Source organism: Homo sapiens, chromosome 22, assembly GCF_000001405.40.
Source record: "Homo sapiens chromosome 22, GRCh38.p14 Primary Assembly".
NCBI classification, from domain to species: Eukaryota; Metazoa; Chordata; class Mammalia; order Primates; family Hominidae; genus Homo; species Homo sapiens.
The window spans coordinates 15,555,051-15,579,652 of record NC_000022.11 but is presented as its reverse complement, the minus strand read 5'-3'; the positions used below and the strand labels follow the sequence as shown (position 1 = coordinate 15,579,652).

Here is a 24,602-nt window from a genome sequence, read left to right as displayed (position 1 = left end):
CTTTTTTTTTTTACAAGTGAAATTGAAAATAAAGTCATCAGTAAAGAGTTAAGATGGGAAGGAGAGAAAATAAGTATGAACTGTTACTCTGGGAAAGGATGAGAGTGAATGGGGCAGGGAATATTTTTTTCTGGGAAACATAAAGACAGGAGCTTTGTGATCATGAATTTCAGTTGAAACAAATTAACCTGATTCCCTCTTACTCTATTTTAAATTTCAGTTTTATTTATTTAAAAATCTGAACGTAATATCCATAATTATAGTATTATACAGAAGAGTTTCACTGCCCTAAAATTCCTCTGTGCTCCATCTGTGCGTCCCTCTGTCCCCCATAACTCCTGGCAACCACTGATTTTTTTTAACTGTCTCCATAGTTTTGCCTTTCCCAGAATGTCATGTAGCTGGAGTCATACAGTACGTAGCATTTCCTGATTGGCTTCACTCAGAAACATGTATTTGAGATTGCTTAATGTCTTTTTATGGCTTGATAGGTCATTTCTTTTTAATGCTGAATAACATTTAATTATTTGGATGTATTACAGTTTATCCATTTACCTAATGAAGGACATCTTGGTTGCTTCCAAGTTTGGCAATTATGAATTAAACCGCTATAAACATTATCGTGCAGGTTTTTGTGTGGACATGTTTTCAATTTCTTTGGGTAAATACTAAGGAGCATTATTGCTAGATTATATGATAAGAGTTTGCTTAGTTTTGTAAAAAGCTGACCAACTGTCTTCGTAAGTGGTGTAACATTTGCATTCCTACCAGCATCACCAGCATTTGGTGCTGTCTGCCTTTCATATTCACCAGGCTTAATCTTCATAATTGTGCTGCACTTACTTTTAAAACGAAAGTCTTCAATTCATCCCCTGCTTTGTTTCTTAAACAATCTTGAATGAGTTCTTTAAAGTCTAAAAATCTCCAGAAAATAAAAGTATTAACTATATATTGAGAGCTGAAGTTTGCAGAGCAAAGGAGTGACACTAAATTGGTGATGATATAAAACCTCAGCTGAAAATTCTAATAGCTAAAGAAGAGGTATGATATTTTCATTTATAGTTCCTTCTCATTTACATGTGTAAACTTAAGAAAGTCAGGAGTATTGTATTCTTAGGAAAATCAGAGCACTTCAAAAAATTGTTGTTTATAATGTTTAGAAATTTAGACCGAACATTTTCATGGTATAGACTAGAGTAGTCTTAGCTAAACAGAACCATTTATTAGTCTGTTGTACATATTGTTTCAGACACATTTATTATATTATAAACAAAAGGAGAATAAAGTAATGTAAAACTACTTTGAGAAGGTGTCTAATAAAAATAAGATAATTATGGGATTTCTATTATCCACACTCAATTAAGACTAATATTTTTAATTTAAAAAAGTTTTTTAAAGAAGAATTCCTGAATGGTAATTGATAATACATTACCTTGGCTTTTCTGATAAAAATCCTTGAAGAATAAAAATAATTTCTTCCTACTTCTATATTACGATCAGCATAATTGCAATAATATGCTTCAATTGTTAGTAAAGTAACATTTATGTTTTGGGATCAATGAATTTAAGCCAGCACTAAGAATTTTATTACTATTCCTCCACTACATTTCAGAGAGTTATTTCTTCATCCTTAAACATACCACAATAATAAGTCTGCTAGGTCCATTTAGATTTTCAACCCAACCCTAAAAGAAAGAAGGTTTCTATTGGTTACACATTTCAGAAGATTGTTGTATCTTTGAAACATCTGCAGTCTCATCTTAATAAATTTCAAACAAGAGCACTGAGACCCCAGCCAACAGAACTATCTAATTCAGTATTATTAAGATCTGAAGGATCAGTGGCAAAGCATTGGCTATTTTCTGCACCTTGACTATGCAAAAATTAAAATTTGGCCAGGATTGTTGTTCGTAGCAGGAGTCATGAATGGTTTTGTGGTGTTTTATGACATCTTAAGGGCCACATTGAACCTTGTTCTTATATTATGATCTGCTAAGCAATTCACCAACCATACTTCTCCACCTCAGTCCTGACTTTAGCCTCCTTAGGAGAATATTGGAGACATGATTGGTAGTAATGGCCCATTCCTTGACATTTTTGACCAGCTATAGAGCCCATGCCAGATACACATATGTATGTGTGTGTGTGTATATGTAGTGTGTGTGTGTGTATATGTAGTGTGTGTGTGTGTGTGTTGACTTGCTTAAAGATGTTACAGGGAAGATTATGTTTAAGAACAATTAGAGGGAAATGTCTTTTTGAGTTTGTTTCCTAAACCCTAAGCCATTCAGCTGACCTTATTATGTCTCTTTACCTCATAGTGTAAAAGTCAAAATGTGTGTGTATAATGGGAAAGGAGAGAGGCAGGAGGAGAAGATGAAGGGATTAATATCCATGAGCCTTTTAGTAAGGACCTGCCTTTTACTAGAGACTGAGCACTCCTCATACATTGTCTCATTAAACCAGGTCTCCAAAATAGTATCCCTCCTGTTTTATGGAAGGGACAACTCAAAAATTTTGCATTGCCAGTAAGTGGTGGAGCTGGAATTTATCCGCCCCAAAGCTTCACAGACTTGCTTTACAGAAGATGGTATAATTCTATCTCACACCAGTTAGAATGGCGATCATTAAAGAGTCAGGAAACAACAGGTGCTGGAGAGCATGTGGAGAAATAGGAACACTTTTACACTGTAGGTGGGAGTGTAAACTAGTTCAATCATTGTAGAAGACAGGGTGGCGATTCCTCAATGATCTAGAACTAGAAATGCCATTTGATCCAGCGATCCCGTTACTGGGTATATATCCAAAGGATTATAAATCCTGCTACTATAAAGACACATGCACACATATGTTTATTGCAGCACTATTCACATTAGCAACAACTTGGAACCAACTCAAATCTGTATCGATGATAGACTGGATTAAGAAAATGTGGCACATACAAGCCATGGAGAACTATGCAGCCATAAAAAAGGATGAGTTCATATCCTTTGTAGCGACATGGATGTAACTGGAAACCATCATTCTGAGCAAACTACCGCAAGGACAGAAAACCAAACACCGCATGTTCTCACTTATAGGTGGGAATTGAACAATGAGAACACTTGGACACAAGGCGGGGAACATCACACACGGGGGCCTGTCCTAGCATGGAAGCTAGGGGAGGGATAGCATTAGGAGAAATACCTAATGTAAATGACGAGTTAATGGGTGCAGCAAACCAACATGGCACATGTAGACATACGTAACAAACCTGCACATTGTGCACATGTACCCTAGAACTTAAAGTATAATAAAAAAAAGAAGATAGCATAATTCAAAGTACTTTTAAAAGGACATAGCACTATACTGAGGTTAGGAAAAACAGTATTCCCAAACTGGGATCCTTCTGTGCACTTTGTAACCCTTGTTTACCCTGGCAGTTGCAATACTACCAATTTGACCATTAAGAACATTCGGTATGTTTAAACTATAGTGGGAAAGCCAAGATATGAAGCCATCACCCATGGGAATTTTGAGGCTAGAGTAATTAGAAGCTAATTTAAGATCTCCATTCAACTCTAGGACAGTCAGGGTAACTGCCAGAGAAGCTGCATGCTGAGTAAATCCTGATCCCAAAGTGGAATTTTGCCCTAGTATAATGGGTTCATATTTGATTGGCTGCACTTAGCTATAAATCCTGAGGAGGAGGAAGAGGAGGAAGAGGAGGAGGAGGAGGAGGAAGAGGGGAAGGGGAAGAGGAAGAAGATGAAGAAAGAAGAAGGAGAAGGAGGACAAGGGGGAGAAACGACATCAGAAAGTAATTGGGCTAGAAGAACTTTAATTTGGAAGCAAAACACAGAATCCAGGTGAGTGGGCTTACTGGGAAAGGCTCATGCCACGTTGCTCCCACAATGGAGGGCCTTATGATGGCGATGGTTAGGTTTCTGCTCTCCTGCTGCACCACCATTTCTCCCAAGGCCTTGATGTAGGTGCAAGAATTGGGCGGATCTCTGATCAGCTTGGGTGTGATCTCGTCAATAACAGCGTCGTCTAACCACGTAAAAAGTAGTCAGAGTGAAAAGAATTCTAGCAGCATATGTTAGACAATAGACCAAAAGGAAAATGTGACACGCAAATAGTCAAACAAAACTTCCACCTTTTAGCCTTGGTTCTGGAATTTAGTCACACAATACCAAGTTTGAGGGCATACCTGTTCAAAGCATGCATGAGCTCTTTGCTCTTCACTGCTAAGCCCAATCTCATCAGCCAAATCCTATGCCCTCCCATCTAGAGAGATAGGTAGGTAGAGAGACCAATAGAATCAATAGCAATACCACTTTATTATTACTACTAGTATAGGGCTATTAGTACTACTTTATTAGTATGACTTTAGCACTACTATTTATTTATCAATTACTTTACCAATACTACTACTTTATCTGTAGTAGTACTAAACTGGAGGTTATTACATACAACCTCTTTACTTCCTCTCCAAGAAGCTCCTAAGTACATTCATTGCACACATTTTTGAGTTCCAGTCATTCTCCCAATAGTGTGCTGGAAGCTGTGTTCAGGGAGTTTGAGGCTCTCATCCAAGGTGTTTCAGTGGCAGCCCTGTTCAGTGTTGTCCCATAGAAACCTGGTGCAGTGATCCTGAAGAGTTTAGCTTTACATTTAAAAAATTTCATTCAATGCAAATCAAACCAAAGTGACTACTTTTGGCAGACTGACAATCTCTTCTAGCAAATCTATGTAACGCATTTTGAAGGTCTGTTTAGAGTCTGTGCTAATAACTTGCTAATTATTTCCAGAGATTTCCAATGAATTCGAAGTCTGTCAAGTGGGGTGATTATAGTACTCTGAAATTGCTTCAAAATCATGAATATTGAATTCTCCTACTTATAATATGACATGTATCATGAATAACTGAGTTACCATAGCATCAGCCTAATCTTTCTTAAAAATATGTCAGAACTGGCCTGGCGGAGTGGCTCACACTTGTAATCCCAGCACTTTGGGAGGCCGAGGCGAGCGGATATTGAGGTCAGGAAATCGAGACCATCCTGGCCAACATGGTGAAACCCCGTCTCTACTAAAAATACAAAAATGAGCTGGGCATGGTGGCACATGCCTGTAATCCCAGCTACTTGAGAGGCTGAGGCAGGAGAATCGCTTGAACCCAGGAGTCGGAGGTTGTAATCAGCCAAGATCGCACCACTGCACACCAGCCTGGTGACAGAGTGAGACTCCATCTCAAAAAAAAAAAAAAAAAGAACCATTTGATAAACCCAAAGTCTATCTACACATCTCTAAGAGAGCAAAAAATTATTGTCAATTAAATATGTAACATTTATTCTAGCTGAGAGATCTATGTGCTTAAATTATTGATACAGCGTTTTAAAAATTAAGCTGCCATTCTAACTGGTGTGAGATGGTATCTCACTGTGGTTTTGATTTGCATTTCTCTGATGGCCAGTGATGGTGAGCATTTTTTCGTGTGTCTGTTGACTGCATAAATGTCTTCTTTTGAGAAGTGTCTGTTCATGTCCTTTGCCCACTTTTTGATGGGGTTGTTTTGTTTTTTCTTGTAAATCTGTTTAAGTTCTTTGTAGATTCTGGATATTAGCCCTTTGTCAGATGGATAGATTGCAAAAATGTTCTCCCATTCTGTAGGTTGCCTGTTCACTCTGATGGTAGTTTCTTTTGCTGCACAGAAGCTCTTTAGTTTAATTAGATCCCATTTGTCTGTTTTGGCTTTTGTTGCCATTGCTTGACATAGGAACGCTTTTACACTGTTGGTGGGAGTGTAAACTAGTTCAACCGTTGTGGAAGACAGTGTGGCGATTCCTCAAGGATCTAGAACGAGAAATACCATTTGACCCAGATTCCATTACTGGGTATATACCCAAAGGATTATAAATCATGCTACTATAAAGACACATGCACACGTATGTTTATTGCGGCACTATTCACAATAGCAAAAACTTGGAACCAACCCAAATGTCCATCAACCATAGACTGGATTAAGAAAATATGACACATGAGACCAGCGGCGGCGGCCGCAGCGGTACTGGAGGCGCAGAGGGCGGTGCAGGCGGAGCCTGGCGAGCACCTGAGCTAGCAGAGACCTGGCGGCCTTTCGGGAGGCGGCGGCGGCGGCACCCCAGGCCCAGCCGGCACGGGAGGAGTTCCAGGGCGATGGGGCCTTGGTCCGGGCTGATGCTTTGACAGCTGAAAAGAGCGCGGAGCCAGCGCCTGGTCGGGAGGGAGGGGAGCGCGGCGAGGAGAGCGCCAGCTAGCGAGAGAGCGAGCGAGCGCCTGGGAGGGGGCCGGGAGCCAGGGGCAGCTCGGGAGAGCCGGAGCTGTGGCGGCTGTGGCGAGGCTTGGAGCCCTCTTCCCTGCAAACCATGTTTGCCAAAGACAAAGGCTCGTTGGTGCCCTCGGACGGGCAGGCTGGGGAAAAGTTAGCTTTATACGTCTACGAATATTTACTGCAGGTAGGAGCACAGAAATCTGCACAGACCTTCTTATCGGAGATTCTCTGGGAAAAAAAAAAAAAAAAAACATCACGTTGGGAGAACAGCCTCGGTTTTTGCACTCGTGGTGGTGTGTATTTTGGGACCTTTACTGTGCAGCTCCTAAAAGGAGAGACACTTGTGAACATTCAAGTGAAGCAAAAGCCTTTCCTGATTCTAGTGCAGCAGCTGCCCGGAGCCCCGTGCTTGGCAACATTCCCCCCAACGATGGGATGCCGGGAGGCCGAGTCTCGCCAGGTTTCTTTCAGTGTCCTCCGGGGTCACTGCCCTCACTGCATGCACAGCCTCCACCTCACAATCCTAGCAGCATGATGGGACCCCACAGTCAGCCTTTTATGTCACCGCAATACGCAGGCGGCCCCAGGCCCCCCGATCAGAATGGGAAACCAGCCTCCTCCGGAGGAGTTCCTGGGAAACAGCCATTGCTGCCCAATTCCATGGATCCCACACGACAACAAGGCCACCCCCACATAGAAGGATCAATGCAGAGAATGAACCCTCCCTGAGGCATGGTGCCCATGAGTCCCAGCCCACAGAATTACGGCAGTGGCATGAGACCACCACCCAATTCCCTTGGCCCTGCCATGCCCGGGATTAACATGGGCCCGGGAGCCGGCAGACCCTAGCCCAATTCTAACAGTGCTAACTCAATTCCATACTCCTCCTCATCACCTGGTACCTATGTGGGACCCCCTGGTGGTGGTGGCCCTCCAGGAACACCCACTATGCCCAGTCCCTCAGATTCAACAAATTCCAGCGACAACATCTACACATTGATTAATCTGGTGCCACCTGGAGGCAGCCGGTCCAACTTCCCGATGGGTCCCAGCTTGGACGGTCCGATGGGCAGCATGGGTGGCATGGAGCCACACCACATGAACGGATTGTTAGGGTCAGGCAACATAAATGACTTCCAAAAAATTCTCCTAACAACGTGAATAGTATTAGCAATCTTCCAGGCACCCCTCGAGATGACGGCGAGCTAGGAGGAAACTTCCTCCACTCCTTTCAGAATGACAATTACTCTCCAAGCATGACGATGAGTGTGTGATCCCCCCTTCTCCAAGATGCTGAGAGAGCTGGCATTGCAGGCAGGAAGATGCCAGAAATTATGCAAGAAGTGAGGTGTCATTACCCAGGAGCTGGTGGAGAGGGCATCTCCTGCTCCCCTCAACCCCCTCCCACCCCATCCACGCCCACCTTTTCCAATTTTAGTTTCATGCAGTAAAAAGGCCGAACTTTTTATTCCATAAAACAAAAGAAAGAAAGAAACAAAGAAACAAAGAAAGAAAGAAAGAAAACGTGGCACATGTACACCATGGAATACTATGCAGCCACAAAAAGGGATGAGTTCATGTCCTTTGCGGGAACATGGATGAAGCTGGAAACCATCATTCTGAGCAAGCTATCATAAGGACAGAAAACCAAACACCGCATGTTCTCACTCATAGGTGGGAATTGAACAATGAAAACACTTGGACAGGGCGGGGAACATCACACACAGGGGCCTGTCCTAGCGTGGAGGCTAGGGGAGGGATAGCATTAGGAGAAGTACCTAATGTAAATGACGAGTTAATGGGTGCAGCAAACCAACATGGCACATGTATACCTATGTAACAAACCTGCACGTTGTGCACATGTGCCCTAGAACTTAAAGTACAATAATAAAAAATTTAAGCTGCCAGAATATGCTAGTGTGATTTTTCTGATCAATGTGGTACATTTATTTCTATTTTATACAACAGAACATAACAATACTACTTTGATTGTAGAAAATCTTCACTGTTATCACCTTGCTGACATGACACATTTTTGAACAACTAAGATGTGCAGAAGGTTAAGACTTATTCAGAATCACAACTCTCAGTATTAATGCCTCATTTCATCCTGGGGTAGAACATGGGCATTGACTATAATGTTTCCATTTTTCTTGCTTTGCTTCTATGAGTGCTGAGTGTGTTCTGGATACTCAAATGACTTTTCATTTAAATTGAATGGAGAAAGATTGAGGGGTTCTAGAATTAAAAACAACTTAAACTACATAGAAATATCAAGGATATTTTAATTATATGGTCACCTGGAGGCTGGGAAAAAGTGTAGGATGATGCAGACACCTCTCCATCTTAACAATAAGCCTACCTTATTTCATTTGTGGGTCAACAGTGGATTGACTGACCTGAGATCATTTTCCCTCAACCGCAAAAATATACAGTTTATGAAAACCAGGTCTTGAGAAAATAGAGCTTAATATCAATAAGGCTGTAAAGAAAAAATTCCTAGAAAACATCAGATCCGAACAATGTGCTGGGATTGTATGTCACATGGCTAGTACCAGTTGCTGTCGTTAATGTTGGAGTACATGGAAAGCATAATACTTGGGGGGATGGGGCCTTATAAAGTTTAGTAGCTTTGCTTGTCTTGGAAAATGTTGTTTTTGGTTGTTGTTGTTTTGGTTTGGTTTGGTTTATTTGTTTGTTTTTTTTTTTTTTTTTTTTGGAGATGGAGTCTTGCTCTTGTCCCCCCCAGGCTGGAGGGCAATGGTGCAGTCTGGGCTCACTGCAATTTCTGCCTCCCAGGTTCAAGCAATTCTTCTGCCTCAGCCTTCTGAGTAGCTGGGATTATAGGTGCCTGCCACCACGCCTGGCTAATTTTTGAACTTTTAGTAGACACGGGGTTTCACCATGTTGGCCAGGCTAGTCTCGAACTACTGACCGCAGGTGATCCACCTGCCTCGGCCTCCCAAAGTGCTGGGATTTCAGGCATGAGAAAATGTTGGTAACACACATGCAAGAAATTTTAATATTCTATAGATGGCTTGCCTCTGCTGTTGTTATTTACACCTGTATTCCACTGTTTAATCTTCTCATTCCAATTTTACTTGTGAAAATAGCAATAATTATATTCATTCTAAATTCTCAGGCTATTATGAGGGTAAACAAAAATTTTCACAACTGCATTTAAGATCTTTGATAAAACAAAATGAGCCAAAAATCTAAGGCATTCCTATTTTTAAAGAAAACAAGGGAGCATCATACATCTGTGTAGGTAATAGTTGGTTTTAAAATGTCGTTTCTGGCCAGGTGTGGTGACTCTAACCTATAATCCCAGCACATTGAGAGGCCAAGGAAGGAGGCTCGCTTGAGTCCAGGAGTTTGAGACCAGCCTGGGCAACATAATAAGACCCTGTCTCTACAAAAAGAGTTTTTAAAAATTAGCTGGGCATGGTGGCGTGCACCTACTCAGGAGGCTGAGGCAGGAGGATTGCTTGAGCCTGGGAGTTGAAGGCTGCAGTGAGCTGTGATTCTGCCACCCTACTCCAGCCCGGGTGAAAGAGTGAGACCCTGTCTCAAAATGAAGGAATGAATGAATAAAACAAATAAAAATAAATTATCGTTTATAATACAGCCAAAGAGACCATCTGCTAGCTCATTCGGCCACTTCCTAGGATCAGAAAGGAGATTAGTGTAAACATGCATATGCACTGATTGGGCAAAGCCCTTCTCAGGACTTTCACTCAATTCAGGGTTGCTGCTGTTGTTTGTTCTCAATATGTTTTTAAACAGTAAATAAGTTAGCATGGATAAAAACCACTATATTAACCAAAATACATGTCTGAAATTAATCTAAATGTTCTTCAGTATACTCAAGAAGATGCTTTGACCCATGGGTCTCAAATACTAAACTCGAATTGCTTCAGAAGAAGCATAAAGTCATTAAAAATTTCAGAAAGCAATATGTGTATGTCTATGTGTGTACATGCATAGACACATACATAATTTCTTCTAAAGATTACTATCAATTTTGGTTTCAAACTTATTGAATCAACATGATGATATCATTAATAGTTACATTATTTATGTATTTACAGAATGAAATGCCAAGAGGCATATGTATTTTCCCTCCCTCACCTTCCAATTTTCTTATGCAACAAGTTGGCAAGCCTAGTGGTTTATGAGGAAATCTGTTAGAGAGTAAGTAGTGGACACACTGTCTTATGATAACATTTGCTCTTTCTTTCTCCAGTCTAAATTATATAGTTCACTTGATTGTTGTAGTTACGAAGTTGTATTTGTTCACGTGTCTGTCTCCCCATTGGACAGTGAGTCCAGGAGAGCAGGGATTATGATTTTTATCTCTGTATCTAATCACTTTTCTGCCCCCAGGAGCCAGCTACCTTATTCAGTAAATGGATGCTCTTCCACATGGTAATCTTGATTGGTCAATTTCTGTACTATATAAGGTTTTGGGAAGCAGAGATGGACAATGATAAGAGAGAGTAGACGAAAGGAAGATGAGGTTATAGGGAGAATGTGGGAAAGGAAAGAAGGGGATATCTTCATAGAGCAGGAAGCAAAATTGGAAGTCAAAGTGTCCAGTGGCAGTGGTGAAAAGTGTTGACCAACCTCGATTTGGTGAAGGTGGCGTCACATCAATTTAAACTTTTCATGGGGAAGCAGGGTATTTCTCAACCTAATGCTTATGGAGAATTGGCCTCTGTATTTCCCTCCAGACTTTCACGGACTACTCAGCCTAGCCCAAACATGAGCCAGATGCCGAATGGACTGCCAATGTGAAAATTATTCGATTTGATTAAGAAACAATTTAATCTTATTCTGGTTTGTATTTAAAGCCTGCTAATATCAAAGTACACAGAATTTTCATTTTTGTATCAGCAACTTAGATGCCATTTAGAAGCTGTGCCACCCTGAAATTAAAAGCACAAGTGCTAGAGTCAGCTTTCACCATTCCCCTAGAAGAGATCAGCTTTTTTGGTGTTAACAATGTGTTCTATAGCAGGAAGGCAAGACTACTGTCCAAGATCTGACCTCCTTTCCTATCTCCTGGAGGGCTGTGATGAGGGCCACTGCTGCTGGCTGTGAGGGTCTCCATTTCCCTGCCCCTCAACCCTGTACCCTCAGTGCACACACCACCTTTCCTTTTTTACATTGCAGACTAGCTGTGTCTTCTGGTGGCCACATAGCTTCAGAAGTGTGGTTTTTAGTAGGTACAGATCTACTAGGACCTTTCATTCAGTTAAAGCTTCTAGGAACTGAAAGACAACAGGAGGCGAGGAGAGCAGGAGAAAGAGGAAGCATGGAGTATTAGAAGATAAACGATCCTCATTTCAAATGAAGACTGCTTAATGAAAAATCTCCTTAAGGCACTATTTCCCAAACTTGCCTGTTCATCAGTGTGAATTACACAGGACCCCTGGGAAAAATCCAGACTCCTGGCTGCCATTTTAGAACCACTAAATAGATCTGCAGAGGTAAGAGTCTGGATAATGTGTATTTTCAACATGCCCTGGAAATTCCAACAGTCAGGCAAATTAGGGAATCACTAATTTAGAAGAAGTCCACTCCATCAACTTAAGTTGTTAAGATTTGAATAGATCAGGATTAGCTCTCAAAAATGCATTGCTTCTTGAAGTAAACATTTCAACAGAATTAAATTTTGAAAGAATTAAATCCCCTAATGCTATCCCTTCCCTAGCTCCCCACAGGCCCCAATGTGTGATGTTCCCCTCCATGTGTCCATGTGTTTTCATTGTTCAACTCCCACTTATGAGTGAGAACATGTGGTGTTTGGTTTTCTGTTCCTGTGTTAGTTTGCTGAGGATGATGGCTTCCAGCTTCATCCGTGTCCCTGCAAAGGACATGAACTCATCCTTTTTTATGGCTGAGAGTATTCCATGGAGTATATGTGCCACTTTTTTTATCCAGTCTATCAGTGACGGGCATTTGGGTTGGTTCCAAGTCTTTGGTATTGGGAACGGTGCTGCAATAAACATGTGTGTGCATGTCTTTATAGTACAGTGATTTATAATCTTTGGGCATATACCCAGAAATGGGATTGTGAGGTCAATTGGTATTTCTGGTTCTAGATCCTGGAGGAATAGCCACACTGTCTTCCCCAATGGTTGTACTAATTTACACTCCCACCAACAGTGTAAAAGCGTTCCTCTTTTTCCACATCATCTCCAGCACCTAATGTAGATGAGAGGTTGATGGGTGCAGCAAACTACCATGTCATGTGTATACCTATGTAACAAACCTGCACGTTCTCCACATGTATCCCAGAACTTAAAGTATAATAATAATCACAATTAAAAAGATTGAAAATTTAAAATTTTAATTTAAATTGGGCTTTAGTTACTTGCAAAATACATTGTATTTCCAAACAATGTGCAAAACAAAGAGTTATTGTATGCATTATCAATAAAGTTATATCACTTCTCATAAAAATAACATTAAAGAAAAATAATTAAATCCATTTTAGGACAATTAAAAAATGTATCTGTCAATTTTAACTGAAAATTCTCTTACATTTATACATCCCACATTCTAATAAGGACTAATTGACACTTGATTATGAACAGTAAAGAAATATGTGTTTGCATGTCTGTATACTTATAGATCTGTTCCAATGGAAATATCTATTTGGAGTCAGAAAATCTGTTTGGTCCCAGTTCTCACTAAAAACATGATCTCATTAAAAATACTTAAACACAATAAACTTTACTTTCTCATTTATTAAAAAAAATTAAATCCCTGGCACTAGAAATGTAAAACATGGCAAGTATGCATGTTCTAATCTGGAGTTAATTTGGTATGTGTAATCCCATAAGCAAAGCAGTAGCCATGTCCTATTGTTTTTTTTTCTTTCCCAATACACATGCTAATCTACTGCCTCCCCCAGCCCCTGGCCATATTAATATTACTGAAGCCCACTTTCATCAGTGTCTTTCCACGATGAAAACAAATGAGCAAGCAACCAAAAACTACACAAAACCACATGCACACACATGGCCCTCCTTCAATGGATCTCCACTGCCTAGAGAATTAAATCCAATTCCTCTGCATGGTATGCAAAATCTCCACAGTATGGCCCAACCTGCCTCTCCAGCTTGATCTCTAACTGCTTCCCTACACATAACACATGTGCTGCCAAGAGGGACTTCTGGCTGTGTCCCAAACACGCCTGGGTTTCCCAGCTCCAGTTGCCCTGCCTGGTGTCTGTGCACATCTCACCTATCCACACTCCTCCCACTCTTCCAAGTCACCTCATATGCCTCTCTCCACTCCACCAGACTTAATATGTACTGTTTCCCCACCACCCCACGTGTATAATTCTTCCCTGTTCTATTTGTCTGGGACGTGAGCTCCTTGGGAACAGTCTATATCTTAAGAAAGCACCTTTTAATCTCTAACACTGCCGAGTATGTGAGTAGACTGGAAAGACCATGAGCTTCAGAATCAAGTGGCCATGGATACCTTTCTTGAAAGGTAAAGAAAGTCTTGAGAGACTTTCAAGGAGTTACTTAGCCTTCCTGAGCTTTTTGCTCCTTAATTAGTATAGCAGTGATAATAAATCAACCCTACAATATTAAGTTATGGAAATAAATGTCTGTGAAAGCATCTCGCTCACAGTGATTGCTCAATAATGACTCATCTCCTCCCTTCCCTTCTTAATTCAGATTTATTAACATATGTTCAATAAAGCAATAGGTATTTGTGATTCCATTTTTCTAGTTCCTAATTCTAGTTATTTCAGGTTTTTATACAGGTGCAGAAGCCCTTTTCTTCTACACTGGTTCCCCTAAGAGGAGTTACCTTGACCTAAAACATAAGAAAAGCACCAACCATAAAACTCTGCCTTTCTTAGTCAGTTATGTGCATTTTAAAAAATAAACTTTCTACTTAAGCTGTTATTCTGGAAAACCAGAATTTCACTGGCAATCCCTGATCCATTTATGCCACTAAATTTCCAAGGTAAATACAGCAAATAGGCAGAAGGTGGTAATATGAAGATAGAGATGAGTCAGGATGGGAACTGGTGGCTGGGATGAGGGCCAGAAGAAAACTACAGGTATAAGAGCCAGGAAAATTAGTTGCTTAACACTGATTAATGGCCATGCTTGTCCTACTCATTACAAACATTAACTTCTCATTTAAGTTATTTTAAAATATTTTTATGCTGACATGCTAAAGTTTTTGTGCTAACAAAATCAAATTTCATCTTTCTGGAATATTTCAGAGCCAAGGTAATCTAAAATTTTTAGATAGGGGCTAAAGAAAGGGAGCTCAGGCCCGACAGTCTCAGGATATAGGCCGAATAGAAAATGGGGGGAGCTGAACGAAGAGAGACGTTAGGCTTGCAAAGGTAGGGACCAGGATGTAAGCATGAGGTTCACGTTCACAGTCCCATTCACTTTATTAACAGCACTGAGCAGTATCACTGCTGCCCAAGCCATCAGAAAGGTCCTGGCCAAAAATGCAAATCCTTCTTTATCTTCCAGAACTGGAATTCCCATTCAACAGATTTTCTGGAAAAATAAAGTTTCCTTTTACAGTGTCATGGCTATTTTTTTGAGATCACAATGCCCAGAGTACAGCTTCTAGATTATCTTGATGTCTAACTCCTGATTCCTTAAGAACAGCTGAAATACTAAGAGCAAATGACAGCTGCTAGACCCCTTGAAGTTACTGTTTAAAAAAAAAAACTGTTCCCTAGCTATTTCTCTGTTTCACTGAAAGAAAAACAAACTCCCAGGGGAAACAGAAACCTAAAAACCTTTGAAAATAATTCTTTTATAACACAGGCCAATTACTAAATAGAGAACTCATCAAAAGTATTTTCTTAAAGCAAAAAACTAAACCTGCATTTAGGTAAATTAATGTTTATTCATAAGGATTTTTAATGTTATTTGTTATTCTAAAACTTGCAAAAATTCCATCTGTTATAGGAGTTATTGAAATAGTCATAGATGGGTGTATGTGCGGGGGAGAAGATGGCGGCGGCGGGGGAGGCAGCGTGAGCAGCCGGAGGAGCGCCGAGTCCCATTGAAACCGGCAGCCATGGCCCTCCACAGCCCGCAGTATATTTTTGGAGATTTTAGCCCTGATGAATTCAATCAGTTCTTTGTGACTCCTCGATCTTCAGTTGAGCTTCCTCCATGCAGTGGAACAGTTCTGTGTGGCACACAAGCTGGGGATAAACTACCTGATGGACAAGAATATCGGAGAATTGAGTTTGGTGTCAATGAAGTCATTGAACCCAGTGACACTTTGCTGAGAACCCCCAGCTACAGTATTTCAAGCACACTGAACCCTCAGGCCCCCGAATTTATTCTCGGTTGTACAGCTTCCAAAACAACCCCTGATGGTATCACTAAAGAAGCAAGCTATGGCTCCATCGACCAGTACCCAGGCTGTGCCCTCGCTTTGGATGGAAGTTCTAGTGTGGAGGCGGAAGTTTTGGAAAATGATGGTGTCTCAGGTGGTCTTGGACAAAGGGAGCGTAAAAAGAAGAAAAAGCAGCCACCTGGATATTACAGCTGTTTGAAAGATGGTGGCGATGATAGTATTTCCACAGAAGCCCTGGTCAATGGCCATGCCAACTCAGCAGTCCCGAACAGTGTCAGTGCAGAGGATGCAGAATTTATGGGTGACATGCCCCCGTCAGTTACGCCCAGGACTTTTGACAGCCCCCAGAACTCCACGGACTCTGTCAGTGACATTGTGCCTGACAGTCCTTTCCCCGGAGCACTCGGCAGTGACACCGGGACTGCAGGGCAGCAGGAGGGGGGTCCCGGGGTTGATTTTGGTCAGTCCTGCTTCCCTGCAGGGGCTGGCAGAGACACCCTGTCAAGGACAGCTGGGGCTCAGCCCTGCGTTGGTACCGATACTACTGAAAACCTTGGAGTTGCTAATGGACAAATACTCGAATCCTCGGGTGAGGGCACAGCTACCAACGGGGTGGAGTTGCACACCATGGAAAGCATAGACTTGGACCCAGCCAAACCCGAGAGTCCATCACCTCCTGCTGACGGCACGGGCTCTGCATCAGGCACCCTTCCTGTCAGCCAGCCCAGGTCCTGGACCAGTCTCTTTCACGATTCTAAGCCCTCTTCCTCCTGGCCGGTGGCCTATGTGGAAGCTAAGTATTCCCCTCCCGCTATATCTCCCCTGGTTTCTGAAAAGCAGGTTGAAGTCAAAGAAGGGCTTGTTCCAGTTTCAGGGGATCCTGTAGCCAGGCATTGGTTGCTTTCCCGACAATGTACCACCTGATGAAGTTCATTCCTCTGTATTCCAAAGTGCAAAGGCCCTGTACGTCAACACCCAAGGTAGACAGCTTTGTTTGGCTAATGAATGAATTTACTAATATGCCAGTACCTCCAAAACCCGGACAAGCTCTTGGAGATAAAATCGTGAGGGATATTCGCCCTGGAGCTGCCTTTGAGCCCACGTATATTTAGACTCCTGACAGTTAACAAGTCAAGCCTGTCTGAAAAGGATCGACAAGAAGATGCTGAGGAATACTTAGGCTTCATTCTAAATGGACTTCATGAGGAAATGTTGAACCTAAAGAAGCTTCTCTCACCAAATAATGAAAAACGTGCGATTTCCAATGGCCCCAAAAACCAGTCAATGAAGAAGAGCAAGAAAAACAAGGTGAAGGAAGCGAGGATGAATGGGAACAAGTGGGCCCCCGGAACAAGACTTCCATCACCCGCCAGGCGGATTTTGTTCAGACTCCAATCACCACATTTTTGGTGGCCACATCAGGTCTGTGGTTTACCAGCAGAGTGCAAAAGAATCTGCCACTTTGCAGCCATTTTTCACGTTGCAGTTGGATATCCAGTCTGACAAAATACGCACAGTCCAGGATGCACTGGAGAGCTTGGTGGCAAGAGAATCTGTCCAAGGTTATACCACAAAAACCGAACAAGAAGTTGAGAAAAGTCGAAGAGTGACTCTGGAAAAACTCCCTCCTGTCCTCGTGCTGCACCTGAAACGATTCGTTTATGAGAAAACTGGTGGTGCCAGAAGCTTATTGAATATCCTGTGGACTTGGAAATTAGTAAAGAACTGCTTTCTCCAGGGGTTAAAAATAAGAATTTTAAATGCCACAGAACCTATCGGCTCTTTGCAGTGGTCTACCATCACGGCAACAGTGCGACGGGTGGCCATTACACTAGAGACGTCTTCCAGATCGGTCTGAATGGCTGGCTGCGCATCGATGACCAGACAGTCAAGGTGATCAACCAGTACCAGGTGGTGAAACCAACTGCTGAACGCACAGCCCATCTCCTGTATTACTGCCGAGTGGACCTGCTGTAAACCCTGTGTGCGCTGTGTGTGAGCCCAGTGTCCGCTTTGTAGGACACCACCTCACACTCACTTTCCGCCTCTCTTTATTGGCTCTTTAGAGAGAAACTCTTTCTCCCTTTGCAAAAATGGGCTAGAATGAAAAGGAGATGCCTTGGGGTTCGTGCACAACATAGCTTCTGTTGACTCTAACTTTGAAATCAAAATCATTTGGTTGAAACAGACTGTCGCTTGATTTTAAAAAACACACAAAAACCCATATTTCTGAAATAATGCTGATTCCTGAGATAAGAAAGTGGATTTGATCCCCAGTCTCATTGCTTAGTAGAATAAATCCTGCACCAGCAACACTTGTAAATTTGTGAAAATGAATTTTATCTTCCTTAAAAAAGAAATGTTTTAATCCATCACATTTTTCTTCCCTACCCTTTAGTTTTTGATAAATGATAAAAATGAGCCAGTTATCAAAGAAGAACTAGTTCTTACTTCAAAAGAAAAATAAACATAAAAAATAAGTTGCTGGTTCCTAACAGGAAAAAAATTAGTAATTGTGCTGAGGGAAACTGCTTACATAGACATTGCAGATCAAATATTTGGAGTTAAAATGTTAGTCTACATAGATGGATGATTGTAACTTTACTGCCATTAAAAAGATTTCAGATTGCATTCATGCTTCTGTGTACACATAATGAAAAATGGACAAATAATGAAGATCTCTCCTTCAGTCTGCTCTGTTTAATTCTGCTGTCTGCTCTTCTCTAATGCTGCATCCCTAATTGTACACAGTTTAGTGATATCTAGGAGTATAAAGTTGTCACCCATCGATAAAAATCACAAAGTTGGTTTAAAAAAAAAGAAATAGTCATAGATGATGGTATAGGTGGAGAGGGGTTGCTGGGCTTTATGTAAAGTGCTATTCAAAGCTTCACATATAGGTTTCATTCAAACTTTAAGAAGAAAAAAATGAACAATCAGAAATGGGTAAGATGTGGGGATATAAATAGATATTTTGTACATAAGACTTCTGCATCCCCAAATATTAGCTTGTTGTGGAATTCTGTCATCTATTCTTGTTTCAGTCAAAACAAGCAAAAAAAAAAAAAAACAGTCAGAACAGTATGAACAACAATCATCTAGTTCCACCAAAAACTTTTCACTCAGCAAGCAAGCATTGAGTCCCTAGCTGAAGATGCAAAGAGGAGCAAGAAATATTCTCTTCCATTGAGACGGTCATTGTCTAAAGGAAAATGTAGATAAGCAACCAGACATTCAGAATGACCTGTGTTACAAGCAATAATAAAGCTGAGCGCTGGGTACTATGGGGCACTTGGGAAGGCTGCCTAAGCCAGAGAGCTTCACAGGGAGCCTTGATGTCTGAGTAAGAATTAACCAGGTGAAGCAGAAGGGGAAATAGGCTCTAGGAACAGAGAGCTTTGAGCGCAAAGGCAGGCAGAGTGTGAGGAGAGGAGGCCTTACTTCCTTGTGACTGCAGCATGAAGGTAAGGGGAGGGCTGAGAGAAATGAGGCTCCACAGGTGCTCCTGGATGTCCTAATTAATTTTGAATTAACAAATCATAAGTATGACTTTTTCTCTGTTTTTTTTTAAAAAAACTTTGTTCCTTAATTGCATGCAAAATGTATCTGTTGAGATAAAATAATTTCATACCTATTTCTAATTAGTTGCTCAAATAATTGTTATCCTTGGAGAGCAGTAAATGACAGATGAACATTAAAAATTTTGTAAAAATGTCAATTGCAGTTTGTTCATATATCACGTAGCAATTACCAGCCTTGTCTGGCTGACATATACCTGAGGGAGTGTGGAAAGTGCCGAATGCCTGAAGATAAATCAACTCTTCCTCTGGGAGGTGAGTTTATTCTTCTTTGAAACCCATGGGTATTTAGTGTCTGGAGATGGTGGTATGGAGTACATAGAGAAGCCCTTCATTAGGAGTGAACTCTTACTTATTTTCTCTGATGAACTCTCAGACTATTTTGCTGCCTCAAATTGCACTACGACCTGTCAGGCGTTAGAGAGATCAGCAGTGGAGACAGTCCCAGGAAACAGTCTGGAAACAAAAGGGTCTGCCCCTCTCCTGGGTACATCAAATATGGAAGCATCACATTTGCCAAGAGACAACACCATAAGAGGATAACTGACAGCAGTCAATTCTATCCTGAAAATGCTCTGAGGCTTTAAGCATAGTTTACTGCCTTGACATTGGGCCTCAGAGTACACCTGCCTTTTCTCCCACTATCCTGATAAATTGTGCACTCTAAAATGTTTCTCTGTATCAATGTAGCAAACCTCCATTTATTAGCAACTTTAAGTAACCTCCAGGTCCTTTAGATGACTTTCATTCTTCTTTGTCCTGGACATTTTTATATGACAGACAAAAATATCTATTCTCAGAGCTGGAGGAGATAAAAATGTTTTCCCTGAAGGGAATGAACTCTTAATTAAGCTAAAAGTTTTTAAAGAGTATATATTAAATGTAAATACAGTATTATAGAAAATTATAATGTAATAAATTTACTGTGAAAGAGTCCATTTTTCTGGTATAATACTTTTTATGTAGAGTTTAAAAAAAATTGAACAAAAAGCAAAGTAAACTTAGTGAAATGGAGCAGAATAAAGAAACAGAAAACAAACCTGTCCTGAGACCCAAGCTGTGTCCTACGATGAAAGTGGTTTCTGCTGATTGGCAAGAAGAGAAGAATCCTAGACACTATTTCTCTTGCATAATAGGACAGTAAGGAAAGGGTGTCTCAGCCAAAGAAGTCAAGAGAACTTCTGCCAGATCTTGGAGCAATTCTTATTCTTCGTTAGTTCTTCTTTACTAATCATTTGATTAACTGATATTAAACACTCCCTAGCACTGCAATAAGTGTTTTATATAACTTTATTCAACCTCACAACAATCAAATGGGCCCATTTTACAAATGAAGGACCTGGGGTTCAGAGAGGCCAAGGGACTTTCTCAAAGTCACACAGCTAGTTAGTTGTGGAGCTATGCCAAACTCATGTCGGAATCAAAAATGTTTCTTCTGAAATTTTATACTATTCATTGTACTTGCTTTATCTAGTGACAATGCTAAGTTCATTAAGAAGCGAGAAACCACTTCTTTGTATAGTATTCCCAAGTACCTCATGCAATCCTATACAATTTAGCAAAATGTTTCTTTAAGAATTTTCTATCCCCCTTCTCTTTCAGCAGTATATTCCCCACCAGGGGATGAAAGAGGTAACAGGGACAAGGTAGCTAAGGCTAGCACCGTTTCAAAGCATTTTGCTGCAAAACTGTTTCTCTTCATCGTCTCATTAATAGACAGCTACAAAGAATCAAAGAGAGCAACATTCTACTCACACCTTGATCCCTTTATTTGACCAATTACTCAAGGGAATCGACGATTTTTTTTTTGGCTCCACAGGGCACGGATAAACAACTTCATCGATGTGCTTCAGGTTACCATTTGAAAAGGCAGTAGAGATATGTATAAAGGCTTCCAGCTTTGGCATCTGACTAGCCGTAAGAGCTTCTGGGTGGCAGTGATGTTAAGTTGCACAGCATGTCTACAGAAGATTAAGCAGAAGGAAATACAGTGAGATAAGTCAGCATCATGCCTTGCTATAACTGCACCTACTCCCATAACTGGCATACCTATCAGATTTTGGTGACTGCACCAAAACACCAGGAAGAAAAGGATGGGGCACGGCTGCACAGTTATGTGATACTTGGAATGTCTTATGTATTGATGATGTGTTTGTGTACATAAACCCTATTCACTGATGCACTGTATGGCATATTTAGAGGTCACTTGGCTCTAATCAACTGGAAAAAGAATCACAATCCTCTGAATTTACAAAGGTGCTTCTATAAGCAGCCATTAAAAGAACAAAAAACATGTAAATTAAGCATCTAACTGAAGAAATTGGAAAATATAAATAAACTGGAGAGAAGCAACAGTGGATTTTTAAATGAGCAATATAAGTTGTTATAAAGTTCCAGGCCAGACATGAAAATTGATGTCAAAATCTGAAATTGCAACTACTGGAATACAAAGCTATATAGACAGTATGTGATAACAATGAAATACTTCATTCTAGGAATACATGGTTTATCGAATACCAGGAAACTTATTAATTTAATTTAACTCAAAAAGAGAAAAACTATATAATAATCTGTATGTATTTTGAAAAGTTTAAGACGATGTTTAGTTTTCATTTCCAATTTCATTAAATGAATTCACTAGAATAGGAATAAAATGATTAAACAATATGTATTTAATTTGCTAGCCAATGTCATTCTTAATGGTGAAAAGCTAGGAATACTGCTTGTAAAGCCAGGGCTAGAAATAATGCCTGCAGTCACAACTACTACTTAACATTGTTCTGAGGTCCTAGCCTTGTAAGTAATTAGAAAGAAAACTAAAATTAATGAAGAAATATAGATATTAAAAAGACAGTCACAAAAATTACTATAGGATTATATAATTGCATACCTGGAAAACAGAAGCAGCTTTTTTAAAAAGCTAAAGTGTACTATAGTTCAGTAAGGTGTCCACTGATAAAAATTATATAAAAAGGCCAGGCACAGTGGCTCAAGCCTTAATCCCAGCACTTTGGGAGGCTGAGGCAGGCGGATCACGAGGTCAGGAAATCGAGATCATTCTGGCTAACAGGGTGAAACCTCGTCTCTACTAAAAATACAAAAAAATTAGTCGGGCACGGTCGGTGGCGGGTGCCTGTAGTCCCACCTACTCAGGAGGGTGAGGCAGGAAAATGGCGTGAAACCGGGAGGCGGAGCTTGCAGTGAGCCGAGATCGCGCCACTGCACTCCGGCCTGGGCAACAGAGCAAGACTCCATCTCAAAAAAAAAAAAAAAAAAAAAGAAAGAAACATTAGCTTGCCTGTATATAAACAAAAATTAGAGAATACAATGCAAGAAATGTTCAAATGTGAACATTTATATCAAATTAATCATAAATTAATATAATAACAGAAAGCAAAAATTGAATAAATGGGAAAACATATTGTTCTTGGATAGGAAGAGTCAATATTTTAAATATGCTAAATGTTTCTAAAGTATTCTATATCTATAAAGTAATTCCAACCAAACTCCCAAGATTTTTAAAAACCTGGCAAGATTATCTTAAATTTAATCAAGAAGTATATGCAATGAGAACAGTCAGGAAAACTCTATAAAAATGAGAGTGTGGGAGGTGGAGGTTGCACTGAGCCATGATTGTGCCACTGCACTCCAGCTTGGGCAACAGAGTGAGACTTCATCTCAAAAAAATTAATAAATAAAGTAAAAAATAAAAATATAAACTCCTCATGTATGACTTCTGTAGTCAGACACTAACACTGTATTTTTATTAGAAGCAGGAATTGGGGTAGGGGCATTAAATTTATATAACGCTTTTGAAACAATTCAGAAGCCTTTAATGTGGTCTCTTAACAATCAACGAGTTAGCCACATGACCTCATTTTGGTAGTATCCACAGGAGATTTGGCCTCTACTTCATTGGGCTCATTGAAGGTAATCAAATCTTTTCTAGTCATGAGAATCTTTGATCTTTAATTATTTTACTAAGTCTTGCTCTTCAAAAATAACTGTCTTATTTAGTCCCATTAACCCACCAAGACCTGCTTACACATATACATATATATATATGTAAAAGAAAAGAGTAAGGTCCCTTAAACTAAGGGGCAATCTCTGTGGAATATTTGGTGTCCCAAGGTGAAAGAGACACTGTAACATTTTACAGAGAATTTGTAGAGTGCTGAGTAAAAGCAAATAAATGAATTCTACAAATTAGCTCCAAGTTTAGAACAATTAAACACAAATAAGTACATTCTAATTTAAGCAAAAACCATTATACCCAATGTACAGATTAACAGAAATTCACAAAATGTTAAAATTTTTGCTAGTTCACCAGTAACTCCCATAAGATGTAAAGATTAGTCGGCACGTTTTTAATGCTTTAGCAAGGATCATTTCTATAACTCCATAAGGCAGCATGGTATAGTGGTATGGCCGTCAAACTTCGGCATATAGCAGGGTTGCCTAGGAAGTTGCTCAAACAAACAAACAAACATATGTCCTGACCCTGGAAATTCTCATTCAGCAGTGTCAAAGCTTGGGCATCTAGCTTTACTTTGAACACACTCTCTAGTAATTCTGATACACTCTGAATTTGAGAACCATTAGTGTATTGGAAAGAACTCAGGCCCTTTGGAGCCATGAAAGACTGGATTTGAATTCTGATTCTGCCATTTATTTGCTATGTGCCTGGGGCAAATTACTTACCTCTCTGCACCATCATGTCTAAAATGCCAATCATTTGACTAACTTATCAAGTGATCGCAGAGAAGTAGGATTAAGCACATATTATGCTGTTCTTATAGACAATTTTGCATTTAACAAAATTTTAGTTCATTTTGCATAGTAATCTATAATAAATGCTAAATGCAACACAATGTTTGATTCACCATCTTGTCATGTTTTCTTTCCACACCAAAGGTCAATTTCACAGAGTTCTTTAATAATTCTTTCTTGCAGCTGGGCAGGAAAGGAACTAGGGTGGCTAGGAAGTTGAACAACCTTAAGATTATTTCTGCTCTGCAACAGAATTGGTGGTGTCGCTACATTATTCGTGCTAGAGGATGGAAGAAGTGTTGATACTAACTCAGAAGTGACAAGCAATAGTTTCCCCTTCTTCATGATATTGTCATGGAGGAAGAAATTTCCTAGGAGAGGCAATAAACTACAATAGGGAAAGTATGGGCTTTAGAGATTAGAGACCTGCATTCCAATTTTGCTGTATAACTGGGCACAAATTACATAACCCTGGATAGAGGACAGCTTTCATGAACTAATATCTCATCTGTGATATAGGAATAGGCACACTACAGAGATTTCTGAGGATTAGAGTAATGAAGTCAAATGTTTGTCTTAGTGCCTACCAC

The 24,602-nt window shown here is 40.4% G+C and overlaps 4 pseudogenes; 2 read left to right on the top strand and 2 right to left on the bottom strand.

Annotated features, from left to right (window-relative positions):
- LOC100420175 (fatty acyl-CoA reductase 2 pseudogene) lies at positions 3,862-21,205 on the bottom strand (annotated as a pseudogene).
- LOC100422530 (pleckstrin homology domain containing B2 pseudogene) lies at positions 6,106-6,620 on the bottom strand (annotated as a pseudogene).
- On the top strand, positions 6,390-7,566 carry SSBP3P3 (SSBP3 pseudogene 3; annotated as a pseudogene).
- USP10P3 (USP10 pseudogene 3) lies at positions 15,290-18,478 on the top strand (annotated as a pseudogene).